Raw genomic sequence first — 25,700 nt, forward strand, 5'->3', positions numbered from 1 at the left:
AAATTATACCTCAACCAACTTAACAAAAATATAACAAGTCTTGAGGTCTTGTCTTTGAATAGTGGAAGATACAATCTCTGGCTAAATATAGGCCCAAGTGGTTTTATTTATAGCTTGACATAGTTCCTTTATTAAAATTTGTTTTTGTTTTTTGAGACAGTCTTGCTCTGTCACCCAGGCTGGAGTGCAGTGGCGAGATCTTGGTTCACTGCAACCTCCACCTCCTGGGTTCAAGCGATTCTCCTGCCTCAGCATCCCAAGTAGCTGGGATTACAGGCGCCCACCACCATGTCTGGCTAATTTTTGTATTTTTAGTAGAGGTGGGGTTTCACCATGGTGGCCAGGCTGTTCTTGAACTCCTGATCTCAAATGGTCCACCCACCTCGGCTTCCCAAAGTGCTGGGATTACAGGTGTGAGCCACCATGCCCAGCTAAAAATTGTTTTAATTAACAAAACCATAAACGTACAGCAATCATCCTTAATGGCGAACATTAAAAATATTTCCTTGGCCAGGAACAATGGCTCACACCTGTAATCCCAGCACTTCAGGAGGCCAAGGACGGCAGATGGCTTGAGCCCAGAAGTTCGACAGTGGCCTCGACAACACGGCAAAACCCCATCTCTGCAAATACAAAAATGAGCCGGGCATGGCAGTGCACACCTGTAGTCCCAGGTACTTGGGAGGCTGAGGTGGAAGGACTGATTGAGCCTGGGAGGTTGGGGCTGCAGTGAGCAGTGATCATGCCACTGCCCTCAAGCCTGGTGACAGAGTGAGACCCTGTCTCAAAAAAAAAAAACACCAAAAAAAAAAAAAACCTCACTTAAAGAAAGGGTCAAGTGAGGAAACTAGTTAGTGCTGTAGACATTCATATTACACATATGATCCAAGCTACAAGTATAAATTAAGAAATAAGGCATATAGAAAGGAATAGGCAAATACTTTTATTTACAAATAATACCAACATCTCTTTAGACAATTCAATCTCATGAAGAAACCATTTCATCTACTAAAGTAGTTCATCAATGTTACAATCCTTAGACAAAAACCAACAGTTTAGTACATAGTAATAGTAATCAATTACACAACAGAAAAAATATCCCAATCATATTATAAACAAAAGCCATTAAGTATCTAGAAATAAGTAAAACAAGAAATGTGTACACTTTTATGCTAAAAATATAAAGACTTACTAAAGCACATAAAAGAATACCTACTGAAATAAAGACACACCAGGTACAAGAGAAAAACTCAATGTCGTAAAGATGTCAATAATGATTCTTTTCTTTCTAATACTATGGCAGAGGAGAAATATTGAAACTCCTCTATTAAAAGGATTTACCGGCCGGGCACGTGGATCCTGCCTGTAATCCCAGCACTTTGGGAGGCCGAGGCAGTCAGATCACCTGAGGTCTGGAGTTCAAGCCCAGCCTCAACATGGAGAAACCCTGTCTCTATTAAAAATACAAAATTAGCCGGGCGTGGTGGTGCATGCCTGTAATCCCAGCTACTCAGGAGGCTGAGGCAGGAGAATTGTTTAAACCTGGGAGGCAGAGGTTGCGGTAAGCCGAGATCGTGCCATTGCACTCCAGCCTGGGCAACAATAGCAAAACTCCCGTCTCAAAAAAAAAAAAAAGGATTTACCCCAAATAGATCATCTTTGGTCAATAAGAATATACAGGTGATCTTTCTGTCTTCATTGTGCTTTTCTCTGCTCTTTAAAAAATTCTACTTTTTTCATAAAAAGAGTTAATTTTTAAAAGTGAAAAGTAAAAACGTTAAGAGTATTGGCTGAACACAGTGGCTCACACCTGTAATCCCAGCACCTAGGAGGCTGAGGTGCTAGGACCAATTGAGCCCAAGAGTTCAAGACCAGCCTGGACAACATGGTGAAACCCTGTCTCTACAAAAGATACAAAAATTAGCTAGGTGTGGTGGTGTGCGCCTGTAGTCCTTGCTACTCGGGAGGCTGAGGTGGGGGATCGATTGAGCCCGGGAAGTTGAGGCTGCAGTGAGCCAAGATTGTGGCATTGCACTCCAGCCTGGGCAACACAGCAAAAACCTGTCACACATGAAAAAGACAACTGTGAACTGTAAAAAGCACTCCTCCATCTTCACCCTCTCTGTATATATTTATGTTTAAATATCTCCAAGGAAGCAGTTACAAAAACATGGAGAATAATAAATGACAGAGTAAGAATTTGAGAACAAACATTTGATTTGTTTCCATAAATTGAGACAAACCTCAACTGACTACAAATTGAGACAAAAGAATCAATTGAGCCGGGCGGGGTGGCTCACGCCTGTAATCCCAGCACTTTGGGAGGCCGAGGTGGGCGGGTCATGAGGTCAGGAGATTGAGACCATCCTGGCTAACATGGTGAAATTCCGTCTCTACTACAAATACAAAAAATTAGCCAGGCGTGGTGGCGGGCACCTGTAGTCACAGCTACTAGGGAGGCTGAGGCAGGAGAATGGCGTGAACCTGGGAGGTGGAGCTTGCAGTGAGTCGAGATCACGCCACTGCACTCCAGCCTGGGCGACAGAACGAGACTGTCTCAAAAAAAATCAATTGAGACAAAGCCTCAATTGATTAACCTTAAAATAACCTTCTTAAAAGATATGTGTGTGTGTGTGTGTGTATATAAATCATCCATAAGCATATTAGTAAAAGTACAAATCAACAGATATGTTTTAGAGAAGTGTTAAATTTTTTAAACGCAAGTGTAATTTAAATAGAATGAAATACAACAATCCGAAGTGCATAGACGATGAGGTAAGATTTTTTTCATCAACTTTATTGAAGTGTAATTTACATATAATAAAATGCAACCATATGTCTACATTCATGCAAATACCACCTTGTAAGAAATGCCTTTCCTGACTACCTTATCTAAATTAGTCCTGCCCAGAGTTCAGAGACCAGCCTGACCAACATGGAGAAACCCCGTCTCTACTAAATAATACAAAAATTAGTCGGGCATGGTGGAGCATGCCTGTAATCCCAGTTACTCAGGAGGCTGAGTCAAGAGAATCGCTTGAACCTGGGAGGCGGAGGTTGCAGTGAGCCAAGATCGTGCCATTGCACTCCAGCCTGGGCAACAAGAGCAAAACTCCATCTCAAAAAAAAAAAAAAGAAAAAAGAAAAAGAAAGTCCCAGGTGCAGTGGCTCATGATTGTAATCCCAGCACTTTGAGAGGACAAGGTGGGCCATTCTTTATATTCATAAGGTGGGAAGATTGCTTGAAGACAGGAATTCAAGACCAGCCTGGGTAACAAAGCAAGACTCCAACTCTACTGAAATAAAAAATAAAAACTTAGCTGGGTGTCATGGTGCTGCTGGGAGTATAGCAGTGAGGACGACCAGAGGTCACTCTTGTCACCATCTTGGATTTGGCCGACTTCTTTACTGCAAGATGTTTTCTCAGCAAGGTCTTTATGACCTGTATCTTATGCTGACCTCATATCTCATCTTGTGACTTAGAATGACTTATCTGTCTAGGAATGCAGTCCAGTAGGTTTCAGTGTTACTTTACACAGCTCCTATTCAAGAAGAAGTTGCTCTGGTTTACACGCCTCTGACGTAACCATGCAGTGAACAAGTCTATTGGCTCCATTTATTCACCAGCATGTGCTCACTTTGTATCTGTGTCATATTTGGATGATCCCAACAATATTTCAACTTTCTCATTGTTGTTATATCTGTTATGGTGGCCTATGATTATCTTAGGCACCACTACTTGTTTTAGGGCATCACAAACTGTGTCCATATAAGACAGCAAACTTAATTGATAAACATGGTGTGTGTTCTGACTACAAACTTAATTGATAAACACTGTGTGTGTTCTGACTGCTCCACTGACTGGCTCACTGCAACATCCGCCTCCCAGGTTCAAGCGATTCTCCAGCCTTGCCTCCTGAATAGCTGGGATTACAGGCATATGCCACCATGTCTGGCTGATTTTGTATTTTTAGTAGAGATGGGGTTTCAACATGTTGGCCAGGCTGGTCTTGAACTCTTAACCTCAGGTGATCCACCCACCTCAGCCTCCGAAAGTGCTGGCATTACAGGCGTGAGCCACCACGCCCGGCTTGGAATTTCTAATATAAATTGCCCACTGGATCCAAAGGAGAAGGTGCGCACAGACTTTAGTTTTGCTTGCTTTCTTTCCAGCAAGGACTTTCTTAGCCACCTTTGCAGTTATGGGCTAAAGTAGACAGGGAAATAGACAGGGAAGGCGAAGCTTAAAACAAAGTCAGTAGTCAAACATGAAAAATATAGTCACACTTATTTATTATAAAAAAACTATTACTAGCCAGGCGTGGTGGCTCACACCTGTAATCCCAGCACTTTGGGAGGCCGAGGTAGGGGGATCACGAGGTCAAAAGTTTGAGACCACCCTGACCAACACAGTGAAACCCCGTCTCTACTAAAAATACAAAAATTAGCCAAGCATGGTGGTGCATGCCTGTAATCTGAGCTACTCAGGAGGCAGAGGCAGGAGAATCACTTGAACCCAGGAGGCAGAGGTTGCAGTGAGCCAAGATAGCACCACTGCACTCCAGCCTGGGCAACAGAGCAAGACTCTGTCTCAAAACAAAACAAACAAACAAAAAATACACAAAAACAACTATTGCCATCAACATTTTATCAATTAGTAATTTTGGCACAGAGAATTTACATAACTAGCCTAATGTCACGTAGGTAGTAAATGGTTGTCTTTTGTCATTGACCACATTCTCTAATATGAATTTGTATAACTTCAATAAGCTTTGAATCATGATAGAAAACTCATCTACATTCATTATCAATTTCTTTCAGTATTAAATGTCCTAATTTTGGTGGGTGGATCACCAGGTCAGGAGATCGAGACCATCCTGGCTAACACAGTGAAACCCTGTCTCTACTAAAAATACAAAAACAAAAAAATTAGCCAGGCGTGGTGGCAGGTACCTGTAGTCCCAGCTACTAGGGAGGCTGAGGCAGGAGAATGGCATGAACCCAGGAGGCAGAGCTTGCAGTGAGCCGAGATAGCGCCACTGCACTCCAGCCTGGGCGACAGAGCAAGACTCCGTCTCAAAAAAAAAAAAAAAAGTCGTAATTCTGGAAAAAGTGAATATGAAGTAATACACATCCATTGTATTTGACCCACATATGGAATCTGCTGATGATCCATGACAAATGGCATGAGAACAGTTTCCTACATTAATTATGTTAGGTCATGAATTCTCTGATGTCGAGTAAGCTGTGTAAGCTGTTTAAAGGCCTTCCCACATGTCTTACATTCATAGGGTTTCTCGCCAGTGTGAACACTCTGATGTCGGCTGAGTCCTGAGGCATAGAAAAAGGCTTTCCCACATTCCGGACATTGATAAGTTTTCTCACCAGTATGGATTCGTTTATGTTGACTAAGTTGTGAAGGACATCTAAAGGCCTTCCCACATTCCTTACAATCATAAGGTTTCTCACCAGTGTGAGTTCGCTGATGTCGAATTAGTTCTGAGCCGCAAGTAAAAGATTTCCCACATTCTTTACATTCATAAGGTCTGTCACCGGTATGAATTCTCTGATGTAGAGTAAGGTGTGTACGCTGTCTGAAGGACTTCCCACATGTCTTACATTCATAGGGTTTCTCGCCAGTGTGAATACTGTGATGTTTGGTGAGTCCTGAGAAACGGACAAAGGCTTTTCCACATTCATGACATCGATAAGGTTTCTCACCAGTATGGATTCGTTGATGTTGAGTAAGTTTTGAACGACGTCTAAAGGCCTTGCCACATTCCTTACAATCATAGGGTTTCTCACCAGTGTGAATTCGCCGATGTTGGATTATTGCTGAGCGAAAAGCAAAAGATTTTCCACATTCCTTACAATGATAGGGTTTCTCACCAGTGTGAATTCGCTGATGTTCAATTAGTGTTGAGCGAGAAGTAAAAGATTTCCCACATTCTTTACAACTGTAGCGTTTCTCACCAGTGTGAACTGGCCGATGTTGAATTAGTGCTGAGCGAAGAGTAAAAGATTTCCCACATTCCTTGCAATGATAAGGTTTCTCACCAGTGTGAAGTGGCTGATGTTGAATTAGTGTTGAATGAGAAGTAAAAGATTTCCCACATTCCTTACAATCATAGAGCTTCTCACCAGTGTGTATTTGCTGATGTTGAATTAGTGTTGAGTGAGAAGTAAAAGATTTCCCACATTCCTTACAATCATAGGGTTTCTCACCAGTGTGAATTTGCTGATGTTGAATTAGTGTTGAGTGAGAAGTAAAAGATTTCCCACATTCCTTACCATCATAGGGTTTCTCATCAGTGTGATTTTGCTGATGTTGAATTAGTCCTGAGCAGAAAGTAAAAGATTTCCCACATTCTTTACATTCATAAGGTTTCTCACCAGTATGAATTCTCCGATGTTGATTAAGGTATGTACGCTGTCTAAAGGCCTTCCCACAGTCCGGACATTCATAGGGTTTCTCACCAGTGTGAATTCTGTGATGTTGGGTGAGTCCTGAGACACTGACAAAGGCTTTCCCACATTCCTGACATTGATAAGGTTTCTCACCAGTATGGATTTGTTGATGTTGAGTAAGTCGTAAACGAAGTCTAAAGGCCTTCCCACATTCCTTACAATCATAAGGTTTCTCACCAGTGTGAATTTGCTGATGTTGAAGTAGTGTTGAGCCAACAGTAAAAGATTTTCCACATTCCTTACAGTGATAGGGTTTCTCACCAGTGTGAATTCGCTGATGTTGAATTAGTGCTGAGCGAGAAGTAAAAGATTTTCCACATTCTTTACAATCATAGGGTTTCTCACCAGTGTGAACTGCCTGATGTCCAATTAGCCCTGAGCGAAAAGTAAAAGATTTTCCACATTCCTTACAATGATAGGGTTTCTCACCAGTGTGAATTCGCTGATGTTGAAGTAGTGCTGAGCCAGAAGCAAAAGATTTTCCACATTCTTTACAATTATAGGGTTTCTCACCAGTGTGGATTCGCTGGTGTCGATTGCGTGTTGAGCGAAAAGTAAAAGATTTTCCACATTCCTTACAACAATAGGGTTTCTCACCAGTGTGAATCCGCTGATGTTGAAGTAGTGCTGAGCCCGAAGCAAAAGATTTCCCACACTCCTTACAATCATAGGGTTTCTCACCAGTGTGAATTCGCTGATGTTGAATTAGTGTTGAGCCAGCAGTAAAAGATTTTCCACATTCTTTACAATCATAGGGTTTCTCACCAGTGTGAATTGCCTGGTGTCCAATTAACCCTGAGCGAAAAGTAAAAGATTTCCCACATTCCTTACAATCATAGGGTTTCTCACCAGTGTGAATTCGCTGATGTCGAATTAGAGCTGAGTGAAAAGTAAAAGATTTTCCACATTCCTTACAGTCATAGGGTTTCTCACCAGTGTGAATTCGCTGATGTCGAATTAGTGCTGAGCCTGAAGCAAAAGATTTTCCACATTCCTTACAATCATACGGTTTCTCACCAGTGTGAATTTGCTGGTGTCGAATTAGTGTTGAGCCAACAGTAAAAGATTTTCCACATTGCTTACAATGATAGGGTTTCTCACCAGTGTGAATTTGCTGATGTTGATTTAGTGTTGAGCCAGAAGTAAAAGATTTCCCACATTCTTTACATTCATAAGGTTTGTCACCAGTATGAATTCTCCAATGTTGAATAAGATGTGCAGACGGTCTAAAGGCCTTCACGGATTCCTGACACTCATGAGGTCTCTCATCTGTATACATTTTCTGGTGTTGAATAAGATGTGAGCCAGAAATAAAAGCTTTTCCATATTCTTTACATGCACAGGGCTTTTCCCCAGTATGAATTCTCTGATGTTTAACAAGATAGGAAAAGTGATGAAAGGCCTTCCCACACTCCTTACATTTATAGAGTTTTTCACCAGTATGGGTTTCTTGCTGTTGTGTAAGTTCTGAGCCATACTTAAAAGCCATACATTCTGTGGATTTATACAGTTTCTCTCCAGGATGAATCCGATGATGCAGAGTGAGAGATGTCTGTAGGCAGAAAGTTGGTGTTGTTTCATAAGTCATTATTGCTTTTTCCAAATATCGCTCCTGATTTATATCTTGGTGCTGAAACTGGCCTTTGCATTCCCAGTCATCTCTGACACTGGAGCCCACAAGGCTATGACATTTTTCCATTCTCACCCACTGAGATGATGTTACTTCATAGATTTCTTTTGGCAAACATGAATCTTTGGTCTTACATCTAAACTCCGAGTCTGAAAAATAACCAGAAAGCAAAAACATAGCATTTCCTTGTTGAGTAGAAATAAAAACATCTATGGTAGAAAGGGGAGACAAACTGAAAATAATGTCCTTAAGAATTAAAGATGTGTTGGGCGTGGTGGCTCATGCCTGTAATCCCAGCGCTTTGGGAGTCTGAGACAGGAGGATTGCTTGAGCCCAGGAGTTCAAGGCTGCAGTGAGCTGTGATTGTGCCACTACACTCCAGCCTGGGCCACAGAGCAAGACCCTGTCTTAAAAAAAAAAAAAAAAAAAAAAAGATGGTGTACATACATGGTATACATGGTGATAGTATGTACCCTTATATGATGTGATGAGAACAGTATTTTATCTCTGTGATCTTCCTTCTAAAAATACTGAACTCCAGTCTAATCACTGGAAAAACACCAGACAAATCCCAAAATGAGAGACAATCTATGAAATACCTGGCCAGTACTCTCCAAAACTATTGAGATAATCACAAACAAGGAAAGCCTGAAAAGCTGTCAAAGCAAAGAGGAGCCAAGGGAAACATAATGACTCAATGCAATGTGTTAGCCTAGCCAAGATCCTAGAATAGGAAAAAAGGACATTAGGTAAAAGCTAAGGAGGCCAGGCACAGTGGCTCACACCTATAATCCCAGCACTTTGGGAGGCTGAAGCGGGCGGACCACAAGGTCAGGAGTTCAAGACCAGCCTGGCCAACATGGTGAAACCCTGTCTCTATTAAAAATACAAAAATGAGCCAGACGTGTGGCCCATGCCTGTAATCTCAGCTACTCGGGAGGCTGAGACAGGAGAATCACTTGAGCCCGGGAGGCTGAGGTTGCAGTGAGCCAAGATCGTACCATTGCACTCCAGCCTAGGCAACAAAAACCAGACTCCATCTCAAAAAAAAAAAAAAAAAAAAAAAAAAGCTAAGGAAATCTGAGTAAAGTAGGGGTTTCCATTAATAATAATAGATCTCAGCACCATAGGAAAGGTAAATAATAATAACAACATTGCTTCAACAATGTTATTATTTAATAGGATCAACATTCATTCATTAATTATGACAAATGTACAAATATAAAATGTTAATGGGAAACTACATGTGATGTATATGGGAAGTCTCTGTACTAACCTCACAACTTTTCTGTAAGTCTAAAACTATCCTAAAACCTAAAGTTTACTTTTTTAAAGTGAGAAAGTAACATCTCACTAGCAAAAAGGCCAAGCAAATTTTTGTAAAAGACACAAATGGGGTATCAGTATCTAAAAATTAAAAAATGAATCATTGAAACTTAAAATTCAATGAATGAATTTGAATTGGCAGTATAAGAGTGCAATCATGATTTTTAAAAAATACTATACATCTTCATCCATTGAAGCCTTAGAAACAACCAATCTGGCAGCAATGAACACGCTAATGACAGATTACTGTCTCTAAATACCATTTCTTACTACACAGAACCTAGGCTCCTTGGAGCATCTTGGGATTAGAACAGAAAGTGTGCATTATGAGCATGGAAAAAGCTGGCATATTAGAAAAGCAAAGAAGCTTATTCAAGACTCCTAGGGTCATGTCAAAAAGACTCAGGAACCATTGTGAAGAGGGTCCCATTGGCCAAAGATGGGACAAGTTGAGCATGAATTCAAGAATAAAAACTGTAATCATTGTAATGTAATTACAATAAATCACATCAAATTTTTTTAAATCTGTGTGTTCATAAGGACAATTTTAAAATTACCTAGTAATTTTTAGGGGATGAGATGAGGAATGGCTGCTAACTTCACAAAAACAGAAACAACCAGATATGTGCTTCTTGATGAAATACACAATACTAATATCACATAGTCTGTTTATAGGAAAGAAAGGAGTAAAGGGAGGAGAGCTAAATGTTAAATGACAGATGATCCAGTTTCTTCAACATATAAATTTCAAGGAGAAAAAGAGAAAGAAATCAACAACAAAACCTCACTGGAATGGTTAAATAACTGGAAATGCAAAAGCAAGGTTAAAAGTCATAAAGAAAAGTCAAAGAATTCATTTGTCTTCCTGAAAGTAATACTGAAAGAACAGGGAGCAAACTATATTCAAGATGGAACAGCTAAAATTTATTCAGAAGTGATGAGGTTTTCTAAAAAAAATCTGAGGTGCCATGAGTGCCATGGATGGTAAATTTTAAAAGTTCTACGGGGCCAGGTGCGGTGGCACACGCCTGTAATCTCAGCACTTTGGGAGTCTGAGGCAGGTGGATCACCTGAGGTCAGGAATTCAAGACCAGCCTGGTCAACATGACAAAACCCCGACTTTACTAAAAATACAAAATAAGCCAGGCATGGTGGTGCACGCCTGAATTCTCAGCTACTCAGGGGGCTGAGGCAGAAGAATTGCTTAAATCCAGGAGACAGAGTTTGCAGTGAGCCGAAATTGTGCCACTGCATTCCAGCCTGGGCGACAGAGCGAGACTTCATCTCAGGAAAAAAAAAAAAAAAAAAAAAGTAAAAGTTCTATAAGCCAGGCATGGTGGTTCATGGCTCTAATCCCAACACTTTGGGATGCCAAGACTGCAAGATTACCAGAGCCCAGGAGTTCAAGACCAGCCTGGGCAACAGCCTGGGACACTGTCTCAAAAAAAAAAAAAAAAAAAAAAAAGCCGGGTGTGGTGGCACATGCCTGTAGCCTCAGGTACTCGGGAGGCTAAGGCGGGAGGATCACCTGAGCCCGGAAAGTCAATGCTGCAATGAGCTGTGGTCAAGCCACTGCACTCCAGCCTGGGTGACCACGGGAGAACCTGTCTCTTAAAAAAAAATTATGCATGATGAAATCCCAATAATAAGAACAAAATGGACAGGAAAAAAAAAAATAGCTTACACACCATGCTTGCTATATGCCAGGCACTATTTTCACTGCTTTACACATTTACTATATAAGCTCATTTAATCTTCAGAAGAATCCTGTGAATAGCATATATATTTGCAAATGAGGACCAGAGAGGTTAAGTAAATTGCCAAAAGTCATAGAGGTATTAAATAGCAGAGCTAGGATTTGAATGGAGGCAATCTGGCTCAAGAGTCCATGCTTTCAACTTCCAAATCAGTGGAATCGAACTAAGTATGGGCATCAGATTTTTTTAAAACCTCAAATCTAAAACAGTGTAAAATAAAACAGGCAACAGAAGACAGGAAAAGTGAGACAAATAGAATAAGCTGGTTAAAAAAATTCAAACAGGCCAAGAGAGGTGGATTGTGCCTGTATTTTCAGCTACTCGGGAGGCTGAGGTATGCAGATTGCTTGAGCCTAGGGGGTTGAGGCTGTGGTGAGCTGTGATTGCTCCACTGCACTCAGCCCGGGCAACAGAGAGAGAGAGACCCTGTCTCAAAAAAAAAAAAAAAAAAATCCAAATACATCACTAATTATAAGGAATGTAAACAAAGAAAAAGTAAATTTCAACCCTTTTAAAATAAAAAGTGACTAAAAACATGAGGACACAAAAAAGTTGAAGTAAAAACTAAGAAAATGAAAATCAGGCAAGTATTCATGAATAGAAAGCTAGGGTCTTAGCACTGGAAAAAAATAGACTTTAAGGTGAAAACATTCTTGGGAATAAAGAGGATTACTACATAATAAAACGTTCATTCACCAAAAAGATATAACAATTCTAAATTTGTAAGCATCCAGTAAAATAAACTCTAAATATGCAAAGTAAAAATTGAGAAAATACAAAAAGTTTAGGCTTCATCTTGATTGTGGGAGATTTCTTTTTTTTAGTTATTTTTTTTGAGATGGAGTCTCACTCTGTCACCCAGGCTGGAGTACAGTGGCACGATCTCAGCTCACTGCAACCTCTGCCCTCCGAGTTCAAGCGATTCTCCTGCCTCAGCCTCCCAAGTAGCTGGGATTACAGGCGCCTGCCACCACGCCCGGCTAATTTTTTGTATTTTTAGTAGAGATGGGGTTTCACCATCTTGACCAGCCTGGTCTTGAGCTACTGACCTTGTGTTTCACCCACCTCGGCCTCCCAAAGTGCTGGGATTACAGGCGTGAGCGACCACGCACGGCTGATTGTGGGAGATTTCAATACACCTCTTTTAATAACTGAGAGGTCAAGCACCCAGAAAATATAAAAGGATACAGAGGATCTTTACATCAAATTAACAAGCATGATATGTTGAACATGTGAGAATTCTACACGCAGCAATTAAAAGAAAGCACAGGAACACGTGAATCCCCACCCCCACAAAAACACTGACAATTCAGCAGTGCGTGAAGTAAGTCTGAACACACTTCCAGAAACTGGTCTCATACTGACCATGTAAATATTGACTATAGTGCAATTAAGGTTGAATTCAGGAATAAAAAATGGGAAAAGAATTTAAATGCAAAACATTTACAAAAGCTTATGGGTTAAAAATGGCATCATGCAAATTAAAAAATTCTTTTTCGGTTTTTTTGAGACAGAGTCTCGCTCTGTCACCCGTGCCGGAATGCAGTGGTGCAATCTCGGCTCACTGCAACCTCCACCTCCCAGGTTCAATCAGTTCTGTGCCTCAGCCATTTGAGTAGCTGGGATTACAGGCATGCAACACCACACCCAGCTAATTTTTGTATTTTTAGTACAGAAAGGGTTTCGCCATGTTGGCCAGGCTGGTCTCAAACTCCTGGCCTCAAGTGATCCACCCACCTCCCAAAGTGTTGGGATTACAGGCATGAGCCACCGCACCTGGCCTAAAAATTACTTTGATGCTAAGTGATGACAATAAAAATTGTATCATGGGCCGGGCTGTGTCTTAGGCAACAGGCAAAAAGCAAAGACAAAACCTCTGTGGACGAAATCAACCTCAACTCAACGCTCAAAATATTCTCACAAAGTTTCAAGGAAAGAGAGAGCACTTCGCAATAAAAAAAAAAAACAAAAAACAAAAAAACTAACACGTACAGGGAAATGGGAAATCACATGAAGAAAAAAAACAGCAGAAACAGAACCAAAAGGCTTCAAATACTAATATTAAAGAGAATTATTATGTTTAATAATGCTTAAAGAAGTTAGAAAGTCTTGACACCACTAGTAAATAAAGTAACTACATAGTTTTTTTATATATCTAGTTTTTAGCCTTTTTTTTTTTTTTTTTTTTTATGGAGTCTCACTCTGTTGCCAGGCTGGAGTGCAGTGGTGTGTTCTTGACTCACTGCAACCTCCGCTTCCTGGTTTCATGCGATTCTCCTTCCTCAACATCCCTAGTAGCTGGGATTACAGGCGCCCGCCATGACACCCAGCTAATGTTTGTGTTTTTAGTAGAGACGGGGTTTTACCATGTTGGCCAGGATAGTCTCAATCTCCTGACCTTGTGATCCACCTGCCTTGGCCTCCCAAAGTGCTGGGATTACAGGCATGAGCCACCGCACCTGGCCTTGAGCCAATGTTTTAAGTGCCATATCACCTACTTGTTCACTAAGATCTCAACTATACTTTCAGCACACTACATAACCTTATTTCCAGGAAGATGTGTATTTGCAAATGTTTACTTCTATTTGGAACACATGTTTTTCTACCCCCAGAGGAATGCATTCTTGTCTGGAGTGTTTCTTTTCCCAAGTTGATGCACATCCACATATTCACCCATTCATATGTGATGTATGTGTATCTATGTGTGCATTTTTTTCTTTTTATAAAAATAGAATTGTCCTATACATATTGATGTGCAACTTTTCCCCCCAGATAACAACAGATAAAGGATAGTTATATAGTTACTATTTATAGATTTACTTCATTTCCTTGAATAGCTGCATAATATCCCATTATGTGGATATACCATAATGTCACATTTTTTTTCCCCCTCAAGACAGAGTCTTGCTCTGTTGCCTAGGCTGGAGTACAATGGCATGATCTTGGCTCACTGCAACCTCCGCCTCCTGGGCTCAACCAATTTGCCTGCCTCAGCCTCCCAAGTAGCTGGGACTACAGGTATGCGCCACCACGCCTGGCTAATTTTTTGTATTTTTAGTAGAGATGGGGTTTTCACCATGTTGACCAGGCTGGTGTCGAACTCCTGACCTCGTGATCCACCCGCCTTGGCCTCCCAAGGTGCTGGGATTACAGGCGTGAGCCACCGAGCCTGGCCTGTAACAGTTTTTGTTAATGCCCATTTAGATTGTTACTGCTGTTCCAGGAAATGTGTTTCTGTATATATCAGAATTAGCTACTTCTTTTATTTCTGTAGCAGACAGTCCAAAAAGTGAGATTACTCATTCCAAATGTAGGCACATTTTCATTTGACTGGCTAGTTTGATGCTTCCTGGCAGTGTCAGAGATGGTCTGTTCCTAGCCAGCAATGAATATTCCCATGCTATATAGTGTTGAATTTTTGTTTATCTGAGGGGCAAACTTTGGCAGGGGTCCGTTGGGATATGCTAACAATAAGATAACTAGTAAATAGAAGCTTTTCTTAACCCAAATGGGTAGATCCGTCGTGATTATGTTGGAATTTCAGGAGTTCTAGAAATGAATGTGCAGATGGTTGCACAATATGAATACAATCAAAGATGGTTAAAATAGTAATACATTTATGTTATGTATGTTTTACCATAATTATAAATAAATGAAAAAATGAATGAATGAGTCACTCCTAAAAATTAGTAAGAAAATAAAACCAAATAATGAAGTAGAAAAGATGAAACATAAAAAGGAAGCACAAACAGGAAATATAGTTTCTTTTTTTTTTTTTTTTTTTTTGAGACAGAGTCTTGCTCTGTTGCCCAGGCTGGAGTGCAGTGGTGTGATCTTGGCTCACTGCAACCTCTGCCTCCTGGGTTCAAGCGATTCTCCATCCTCAGCCTCATGAGTAGCTGGGATTACAGGTGACTGCCACCACACCCGGCTAATTTTTTGTGTGTTTGTTTTAGTAGAGATGTTGTTTCACTGTGTTGATTAGGCTGGTCACCATGTTGACCAGACCACTCCTGACCTCAAGTGATCTGCACACCTCAGCCTCCCAAAGTGCTGGGATTTACAGGTGTGAGCCACTGCGCCCAGCCTCTTTTTCTTTTTGAGACAGGGTCTTGCTCTGCCACCCGGGCTGGAATGCAGTGGTGCAATCACAGCTCACTGCAGCCTTGAACTCCTGGACTCAAGCAATCCTCCTGCCTCAGCCTCCCAAAGCCCCGGAGTTACAGGTGTTAGTCACTGTGCCTGGCCAAAAAGTGAATTTTTCATTTTAATTTCAATTACTTTACAGTTAAATCTAATTAGCCCCATGTAGCTAGCGGCTACTGTATGGAACAGCACAGCTTTCATGAACCATCTGTTGAAACTGGATTGCAAGAACCTTTGTGTTGTCCCTTCACATAAAAAACTAAAACCTTAAATGACGACTCATGCCTTACAGGTGTAGTATGTATACAAAATGAGGCAGAACTCCTAGCAGGGTGCCCATTTTCAAACAAAATGCTTTGCCCTACTATCAGAGACTAGTAAGTAAGCAAATAAATAAATTCAGTAACAAAAACAACTATTAAAAATGGGAAAAAATTAAAGGCAAAACATTTACAAAAGCTCATGGATTAAAAATTGTATCATGAAAATTAAAAAGTTCTTTTTTTGTTTTCTTGAGACAGAGTCTCACTCTGTCACTCACACTGCAGTGCAGTGGTGTGATCTCGGCTCATTGCTCCTCCTCCTCCTCCTGGATTCAATCAATTCCGTGCCTCAGTCATTCAAGTAGCTGGGATTACAGGCATGCAGCACCACACCAGGCTAATTTTTTTATTTTTAGTACAGAGGGGATTTCGCCACATTTGCCAGGCTGGTCTCAAGTGATCCACCCATCTCTGATTAAATGCTCTCATCTAAAATCATATGGTTGTGGCATATCAGATCTTTTCACTTTAAACTTTTAAATTAACTAACCAGCTACGAATACTTGTCTGAACTGAGTTGGATGAGGCAGCTCCAGTGGATCATGCATTTCTGTCCTAGACTGTCATGAGCTTTAAAAAGTTAAAACCAGGCCGGGTGTAGTGGCTCATGTCTGTAATCCCAGCATTTTGGGAGGCCAAGGCAGGCAGATCACGAGGTCAGGAGATCAAGACCATCCTGGCCAATGTGGTGAAACCCCATCTCAACTAAAAATACAAAAAAAAAAATTAGCTGGGTGTGGTGGCACATGCCTGTAATCCCAGCTACTCAGGAGGCTAAGGCAGGAGAATCACTTGAACCAGGAAGTCGGAGGTTGCAGTCAGCCAAGATCGTGCCACAGCACTCCAGCCTGGCAACAGAGCAAGACTCCGTCTAAAAAAAAAAAAAATATTGGCCCAGGAATCTCACATCTGAAAGATTAAATATGAAAATGTCCATTTAAATAAAGATACATCAGAGCAGTCATTTTAAATAGAAGAAACACCTGGGCACAGTTGCTCATGCCTGTAATCCCAGCAGTTTGGGAAAGTGAGGCAGTGGGAGGACTGCCTGAGCCCAGGAGTTCCAGACCAGCCCGTGGCACACAGGGAGAACCCATCTCTACAAAAAAAATTAGAAATTGACTGGGTGTGGTGGTGTGTGCTTGTAGTCTGAGCTACTCAGGAGGCAGAGGTGGGAGGATCACTTGAGTCCTGGAGGTCAAGGCTGCAGTGAGCTGTGATTGTGCCACCGTACTCCAGCATGGGCAACAGAGAGACCCTGTCACAAAAACAAAAAAAGAAGAAGCAACACTGAAAAGCTACCTATACATTTAATATTATTGAACTCATGATATCCAGGACTTGCTTTAGTTAAGGGAAGGTGCAGAGGTCAACAGGCATAGATCAAGTAAGATTGGAAACATGGAAACTCATTGATAACTACTGCAGCTAGGAAATGGATTTGGGGGATGTCCATTACACCATCCTTTCTACTTTTGTGTATGTTCAAAGACCTCCGTAATCAAGTTAATAATTAAAAAAAAATTTTTTTGTAATGTTCTATGGATAAAGGGAAATAGTCATCTATATCCTACAATTAAAACGCTTTTTAAAATGGATAGTTTGCATTACTTAAAAGCACATTTTGAAAAACAAAATGCCTTATCTTTTCTACTTCAAAAGAAAAATCCCTCAGTCTATGCTACTTACAGCCCAATTTTTGTCCATGTTAACATTGTCACCAACTTATTGAAAATGGATCACTCCTTTTCCTTGACACTTAAGTCTTCTATATTTAACTTATTGTCCTCTTTTATACACAATCATTTCAGTGTACCTTTTCCTCCTAAAAGCAGGCATATCCTATTCCTTCACATTTATATCTACAGTTCTTTCTTCTAAGCACCATATTAGAAATCTCCTGGTTGAGTCTACTTTTTAGAAAGTGATTTATACAATGATTTAGACCCTTTATTAGGCTGGGTGTGGTGGCTCACGCCGGTAATCCTAGCACTTTGGGAGGCCGAGGTGGGCAGATTGCCTCAGCTCAGGAGTTCAAGACCAGCCTAGGCTATGTGGCAAAACCCTGTCTCTACTAAAAATACAAAAAATTAGCCAGGTGTGGTGGCGCGTGCCTGTAATCTTAGCTACTCCGGAGGCTGTGGCACGAGAATTGCTTGAATTCAGGATGCAGGGGATGCAGTGAGCCGAGATCACTCCACTGCACTCCAGCCTGGGCAACACAAAGAGATATTGTCTCAAAATAAATAAATAAATAAACCCTTTATTAGACTGTAATTCTGATAGCTTATATCTTCCATAACTGTCACCCACCAAGAAAAGAAGGCTTTATGATTTTTTTTTTAAGTCAATAAATTTTGACTAAAAGTGAATGAGGTCAGACGTGGTGGCTCACACCTGTAATCCTGGCACTTTGGGAGACCGAGGCAGGTGGATCACCTGAGGTCAGGAGTTCAGGACCAGCCTGGCCAACATGGTGAAACCCTGTCTCTACTGAAAATACAAAAAGTAGCCAGTTGTGGTGGTACATGCCTGTAGTCCCAGCTACTCAAGAGGCTGAGGCAGGAGAATTACTTGAACCCGGGAAGTGGAGGTTGCAGTGAGCCAATATTGCACCACTGCACTCCAGCCTGGGTGACAGAGTAAGACTCTGTTTCAAAAAAATAAAGTGAATGAATATCCATTGATGCATGAAATGTCTGCATCAAAGGAAAACTAGACAAGACAACACACAAAAAAAGTTAAGGATCAGTATGAAAAATAAATATATTTTGAAAAAAAAATTTTTTAAAGCAAGAACACAGGTTTAAATTTCAAAGGGAAAGAAGTAGCTTGAAGACAGAGGAAACAGGATGGCTCCCGAAGAAGGGAACTTTATTCTTTGAAATGGGAAGAAATTATGACAAGAGGGTAGCACAGACTGAAGAGGTGGAAGTAAAAGGGGATTCTTGGCCAGGCGCAGTGGCTCACACCTGTAATCCCAGCACTTTCAGAGGCCGAGGCAGGTGGATCACTTGAGGTCAGGAGTTCGAGGCCAGCCTAGCCCACATGGTAAAACCCCGTCTCTACTGAAAATACAAAAATTAGCTGGGCATGGTGGTGGATGCCTATAATGCCAGTTCCTTCAAAGGCTGAGGCAGGAGAGTCGCTTCAACCTGGGGACGGAGGTTGCAATGAGCCGAGATCATGCCACTGCACTCCAGCCTGGGCGACAGAGCGAGACTCCATCTCAAAATAAATAAATAAATAAATAATAAAATTTTAAAAAGTGTGTGTGGGGGTGTATCGTGACTTCTCTTCATGTGTCTTAGGCCACCACCCTTACATGGGACCTTGAAGAAGAGACTCCTCAACCAATACCTGTACGGTGCTGCCTCCCTGACAGGCTGGCTTCTAAACAGCAGTGTCTTCCCCATGTGCTCAGTCCTTACTCACCTCGGCACCATCCTCCCAGCACGTCCCTTGAAACCATCCAGGGCTCTTTCCCTTGCTCCAGTAAGGAAATCACATCAGGCTTTGGGATAGAGAGACCTGTTTATAAGAAAAGAAGTAAGATAGCCAGGCATGGTGGCTCACTCCTATAATCCCAGCACTTTGGGAGACCAAAACAGGTGGATTGCTTGAGGTCAGGAGTTCAAGACCAGCCTGACCAACATGGTGAAACCCTGTCTCTACTAAAAATACAAAAATTGGCTGGGCATGGTGGTGGGTGCCTGTAATCCCAGCTACTCAGAAGGCTGAGGCAGGAGAGTCGCTTGAACCCGAGAGACGGAGGTTGGAGTGAACCGAGATCATGACATTGCACTCCAGCCTGGGCGACAGAGTGAGACTTTGTCTCAAAAAAAAAAAAAAAAAGAAAAGAAGTGAGACATACTCCTGCTGTTCCTGAATTCAAAGTTAGTCCCTTAGTCCTCATGAAGGACTAGAGGAAGGTGTAGAGTTCTGAAGCATGGAGAAGATGGAGTGACCCCAAAGAGCTGCCCATCTATTAATCTACAAAACACAAAACAATTCCCTAGGCAACAGGTGAAAAGTCACCCAGACAATTGAAAGCTACACCCAAAATTCATGAGTTATTTGCGGATAGACATCCTTACCTAGTGAGACCAGGCTGCTGTAGTTCTCCATCATTACATCTCTGTATAAGTCCTTCTGAGCAGCGTCCAGGCACTCCCATTCCTCCTGAGAGAAGTCTATAGACAGATCCTGGAACATGACCAACCCCTGAAATGACAAACCCATGCAGCGCTGTTGAAATTAAAGGAAAGGTTTTTAAGATGAAGGAAGAGATGGAAGGGTGCTGAAGGATGGAGAGAATACAGTGAGCAGACCAGCTAGGATGAGAGTGGGGAAGAGTAAAAAAATTAGTGTAACTTCAACAAAGTACCTCCATGTTCATGAATATTCCTGTTGCAGCCAGCAAACCTCCTTCATAGAATGGGACATTCCGAATATTCCATGGTTAGAGCTGGGAATGAATAAAACACATTGATATATTATTTCCCAAATAAATGAACTAGAGTACAAAAGCACACAGCAAGCTGTAGGCCTAGCAAAGCTGAAAGAATATTACAGTAAACATCTGATATGCAAATTACTATTTACAACAAAAGCTTAATAAACAGGCACTCCTCCCTTACCACTTTCTTTCTTGTTTTTTTTTTTCCTCTTGTTTCATTTTTTTGTTTTTGTTTTCGTTTTGAGACAGGGTCTCGTTCTGTTGCCCAGGCTGGAGTGCAGTGGCATGATCACAGCTCACTGCAGCCTCAACCTCCCAGGCTCAGGTGATCCTCTCACCTCAGCCTTTGTGTTAGCTGTGACTATAGGCGTGCACCACCATGTCCAGCTAATTTTTTGTATTTTTAGTAGAAACGAGGTTTTGCCATTTGGTCAGGCTGCTCTCAAACTCCTGGGCTCAAGCAATCTACCTGCTTTGGCCTCCCAAAGTGCTGGGATTACAGGCATGAGCCACCACACCCAGCCTTTCCTCATTTCTTAAAGGAAGACAGGATCTTTCAAAAATATCTACAAAAAGTTTAAAAACCTCTATTGGCTGGGCGCGGTGGCTCACACCTATAATCCCAACATTTTGGGAGGCCAAGGCGGATGGATCACCTGAGGTCGGGAGTTTGAGACCAGCCTGACCAACATGGAGAGACCATTTTAGTCTCTACTAAAAATACAAAATTAGCTGGGGGTGGTGGCGCATGCCTGTAATCCCAGCTACTTGGGAGGCTGAGGCAGGAGAATTGCTTGAACCTGGGAGGCAGAGGTTGCGGTGAGCCAAGATCGCACCACTGCACTCCAGACTGGGCAATAAGAGCGAAACTCTGTCTCAAAACAAACACAACAACAACAAAAAAAAACCTCTAATGCACTTCACTAATTAGTACTTCCATAAAATAGTATAGATAGCACTTCGATAATTAAATGTACATTGGCTGGGTGTGGTAACCCACACCTGTAATCACAGCACTTTGGGAGGCCAAGGCAGATGAATTGCTTGAGCTCAGGAGTTCAAGACCAATTCTGGGCAATGTGGCAAAACCCCATCTCTACAAAAATATATATCATATACAAATTAGCCAGATGTGGTGGGACATGCCTGTAGTCCCAGCTACTTGGGAGGCTGAGGTGGGAGGATTGCTTGAGCCCGGGAGGTCGAGGATGCAGTGAGCTGTGATCCTGCCACTGCACTCCAGCCTAGGCACCAGAGCAAGATCCTGTCTCAAACAAACAAACAAACAAACAAACAAAGGCCAGGTGTGATGGCTCATGCCTGTAATCCCAGCACTTTGGGAGGCTGAGTCGGGCGGATCACGAGGTCAAGAGATAGAGACCATCCCGGCCAACATGGTGAAACCCCGTCTCCACTAAAAATACAAAAATTAGCTGGGCATGGTGGCACACGCCTATAGTCCCAGCTACTCGGGAGGCTGAGGCAGAAGAATTGCTTGAACCCAGAAGGTGGAGGTTGCAGTGAGCCAAGGTCATGCCACTGCATTCCAGCCTGTGAAGGATCAAGACTCCGTCTCAAAAAATAAAATAAAGTAAAATAAAATACAAAAGTGAGTATCATGGTATGAATAAACTGCACACAGGTCAGACAAAAGTTACAGGGGCATCTGCCAGTATAAGCAAGTTTCCTGTGAGACACCTGGTCATGGGTCAGACACTTGAGCATTAGGCTGTGGGCCAGGAAAAATAAATGTCTGGTGAAAGGCTACTGTAAAGACCCACAAGCCCCTCCCCTAGAGCCCCATTAGGGTGAGGCTAGAGTTTATTATAGCCATTCTCCTGAGAGACCTCAAGACCCAATTAGAAGAAAACTACAACATTTGTTACATAGAAGGCATTTTCCAAAGAGTAATTCAAAGATAGTCTTCCTTTGGATATAAAACAAAATCTCAAGATACGCCAAAACTGTTTTGTTTTTACTGAATAATTTTTGTGCATGTGTGTTGTTGCTTTAGCTGCAAGTGGCTAACAAGCTGTGATTTTCTTTTCTTTCCTTTCCCTTTTTTTTTTTTTTTTTTTTTGAAGCAGTCTCGCTCTGTCGCCCAGGCTGAAGTGCCTGATCTCAGCTCACTGCAACCTCAGCCTCCTTTAGCTGGGATTACAGGCGCCTGCCACCATGCCGAACTAATTTTTGTATTTTTAGTAGAGACGGGGTTTCACTGTGTTGCTGAGGCTGGTCTCGAACTCCTGGCCTCAAGTGATCCACCCACCTTGGCTCCCAAAGTACTGGGATTACAGGCGTGAGCCACCATGCCCGGGCAACTCTGATTTTCTAACTTGCCCCCTGTATTAGGGTCATACTAGGAAAAAAACAAGTCAGAACCATTGGAGCCACGTGTACAGATGTGCAGTAGCCCTGCTAGCAACATTGCTGCTTGCTTTGGCTCTTAGGAGAGATGAGTTCAGCACATGTCTGCCCTTGCTCTAGCTGTCTCTGATTCCCAACAGATGCACAATCATTTCACTCCATTAGTTTCACTTTGGATATCCCATCATTAGATTAAAACCAGCAGGCCAAAAAGCTAACTTGAAGAAATGCTTTCACATCCACAGCATTCTCATAGGGTCAGTATCATTTAGACATGACAGGACCGTGGTTGCAGGGGACAGAATGAAGTGTCATCCTTAACTGGCCATCCAATGTCATCAGCATGAACAGGAGGACTTTATATGATATTATCTGATGTTTTCTGAATATTACCTTACAAATGCTGCTTTATTTATAACTAAAGAATAGGGACCCTGTCTTTTAAAGCTTTATATTTCCTCAAGTAAATGTTTTTCGTATTAAATCCATTAATAATATCTAGTGGCTGACCTGGAAATTCCATTTCTAAGTACTTATCCAAAGTAAAGATTTTTTTTTTTTTTTTTTTGAGATGGAGTTTTACTCTTGTTGCCCAGGCTGGAGTGCAGTGGTGCGATCTCGGCTCACTGCAACCTCCTCCTCCTGGATTCAAGCGATTCTCCTGCCTCAGCCTCCCGAGTAGCTGGGATTACAGGCATGTGCCACCACGCCTGGCTAATTTGGTATTTTTAGTAGAGATGGGGTTTCTCCATGTTGGTCAGGCTGGTATCAAACTCCTGACCTCAGGTGATCGGCCCTCCTCGGCCTCCCAAAGTGCTGGGATTACAGGCGTGAGCCACCACGCCCGGCCAATAATTTTTTATTTTTATTTTTTGAGACAAGTCTCAATCTGTTGCCCAGGCTAGCGTGCAGTGAGGTGATCACAGCTCACTGCAACCTCTGCCTCCTGGGTTCAAGTGACTCTTGTGCCTCAGCCATCAAAGTAGCTAGGAATACAGGCACACACCACCACACCTGGCTATTTTTTTTGGTATTTTTGGTAGAGACCGGGTTTCACCATGTTGGCCAGGCTGGTCTCAAACTCCTGGCCTCAAGCAATCCACCCAACTCGGCCTCCCAAAGTGCTGGGATTACAGGCATGAGCCACTGAGCCAGGCCAGAGAATTTTAAAAGTATGAAGTTGTATGCAGAAGAATGTTCCTTGAAGACAAAACCAAAAAATCTGAAACAAATGTCTTGTTGGTAGATATATAATACAATACTTTTTAATGGGAAAGATATGCAATATTGAGGGAGACAGGGAAAAGAGAAAGCAGAAAAAAGAAGAGAGAAAATGAAAATTACTATTAGGACTTAAAGCTATTTCTCCCCAGTCTGTTTTCCATACACAGAACAATACAGATGTGACCGCAGTACACATATAATTTTGTATTCTCCTTTACACTTTGATTTTTTCTTATCAAAAACACTTTATACATGGCATTTAAATGGCTTATAACTTTCCTAAATGGCTACTACACTGTGTACTTAACCATTCTGTTTCCTTCTACTTATGATTTTTGCTGCAAACCTTTCCCCTCCGATCTGTCCACATTTAAATTCCTTTAAGGAAGGGGGCTGTATAGAAATTTTAATTTATGTGCATTTTACTGAAGCCTACCTTTTTCTTTATGGTTTCTTTTCTTATTTCTAAACGCTAATCTATTTGAATGTGGTCAACCATTCCTTAAAATGAACACAAACAGGAAAAAATTGGGGAACTGTGTCCTTCAAAATATAAGTATTTTGGCCATGTGTGGTGGCTCATGCCTGTAGTCCCAGCACTTTGGGAGGCCAAGACGGGTAGATCATTTGAGGTCAGGAGTTCGAGACTAGCCTGACCAACATAGTGAAACCTGGTCTCTACTTAAAATACGAAAAAGGCCAGGCGCAGTGGCTCAAGCCTGTAATCCCAGCACTTTGGGAGGCCAAGGTGGGTGGATCACCAGAGGTCAGGAGTTCGAGACCAGCATGGCCAACATGGTGAAACCCTGTCTCAAATTAAAATACAAAAAGTAGCCAGGCGTGGTGGCAGGTGCCTGTAATCCCAGCTACTCGGGAGGCAGAGGCAGGAGAATCGCTTAAGCATGGGAGGCAGAGGTTACAGTGAGCCAAGACCGTGGCACTGCACTGCAGCCTGGGCAACAGAGCGAGACTCAGTATCAAAATATAAATAAATAAATAAATATAAAAATACAAAAAAGTCGGGCACAGTGGCTCATGCCTGCAATCCCAGCACTTTGGGAGGCTGAGGCGGGCAGATGACTTGAGGTCAGGAGTTCCAGACCAGCCTGGCCAACATGGCAAAACCCTGTCTCTAGTAAAAATACAAAAATTAGCCGGGTTTGGTGGCTCACACCTGTAATCCCAGCTACTCGGGAGGCTGAGGCAGGAGAATCGCTTGAACCCAGGAGGCAGAGGTTGCAGTGAGCAGAGATTGTGCCATTGCACTCCAGCCTGGGCAACACGAGTGAAACTCTATCTCAAAAAAAAAAGAATACAAAAAATTAGCAGGCTGAGGTGGCGCATGCCTGTAATCTAGGCTACTCGGGAGGCTGAGGCAGGAGAATCGCTTGAACCTGAAAGGTGAAGATTACAGTGAGCTGAGATCACACCACTGCACTCCAGCCTGGGTGACAAGAGCGAGAATCTGTCTCAAAAAGAAAAAAGAAAATAAAAAAGAACTTTTATTTGGGGGAAAAAAAAAAGAACTCCAAAAAAACAAAAATGGAGTGAAAGGGATTTAAGGAAATTGAAAGTCAACAGGCTAATAATGCCAATAAATAATGATGGAGCAAAGAAATCCATGTTGGCCAAATAACACCAACGTGTTTTTAAATAGTTTTTCAAAATTTAGACAGTTTTCCAGTACACTGAGACACTTCTGCTATCAAGACTATAATAGTGGCTGAGCACAGTGGCTTACGCCTATAATCCCAGCACTTTGGGATGCCAAGGCAGGAGGATGGCTTGAGCCCAGAAGTTCAAGTCAAGCCTGGGAAATATAGGGAGACCCCCGTCTCTGCAAAAATAAAATAAAATAAAATAATAAGCCAGGCATGGTGGTGTACATCTGTGAACTGTGACCACCCCACTGCACTCTAGCCTGGGTGACAGAGCAAGACCCTGTCTCAAAAAAAAAAAAAACTATAATATAGAGTAAATGACATTCAGGTAAGTGGAAT

At 42.0% G+C, this 25,700-nt stretch overlaps 1 protein-coding gene across 2 annotated transcripts in view; it reads right to left on the reverse strand.

The window, feature by feature from the left end:
- Window positions 1-922: 922 nt before the first annotated feature.
- The window catches only part of ZNF850 (zinc finger protein 850), a 29,328-nt gene continuing 4,550 nt past the window's right edge, over window positions 923-25,700 (reverse strand). Inside the window, exons 2-5 of one of the 2 annotated variants that reach the window (NM_001193552.2) lie at window positions 20,038-20,118; window positions 19,748-19,874; window positions 19,086-19,181; window positions 923-8,247 (exon numbers count right to left, since the gene is read on the reverse strand). In NM_001193552.2, the coding sequence (NP_001180481.1) occupies window positions 5,210-8,247; window positions 19,086-19,181; window positions 19,748-19,874; window positions 20,038-20,049 (3,273 nt within the window). In that variant the 5' untranslated portion in view covers window positions 20,050-20,118 and the 3' untranslated portion in view covers window positions 923-5,209. The remainder of the gene's footprint in view (window positions 8,248-19,085; window positions 19,182-19,747; window positions 19,875-20,037; window positions 20,119-25,700) is intronic. The other variant, NM_001267779.2, reaches the window with a different exon arrangement.

This window comes from Homo sapiens, chromosome 19 (assembly GCF_000001405.40).
Source record: "Homo sapiens chromosome 19, GRCh38.p14 Primary Assembly".
In the NCBI taxonomy this organism is placed as follows: domain Eukaryota; kingdom Metazoa; phylum Chordata; class Mammalia; order Primates; family Hominidae; genus Homo; species Homo sapiens.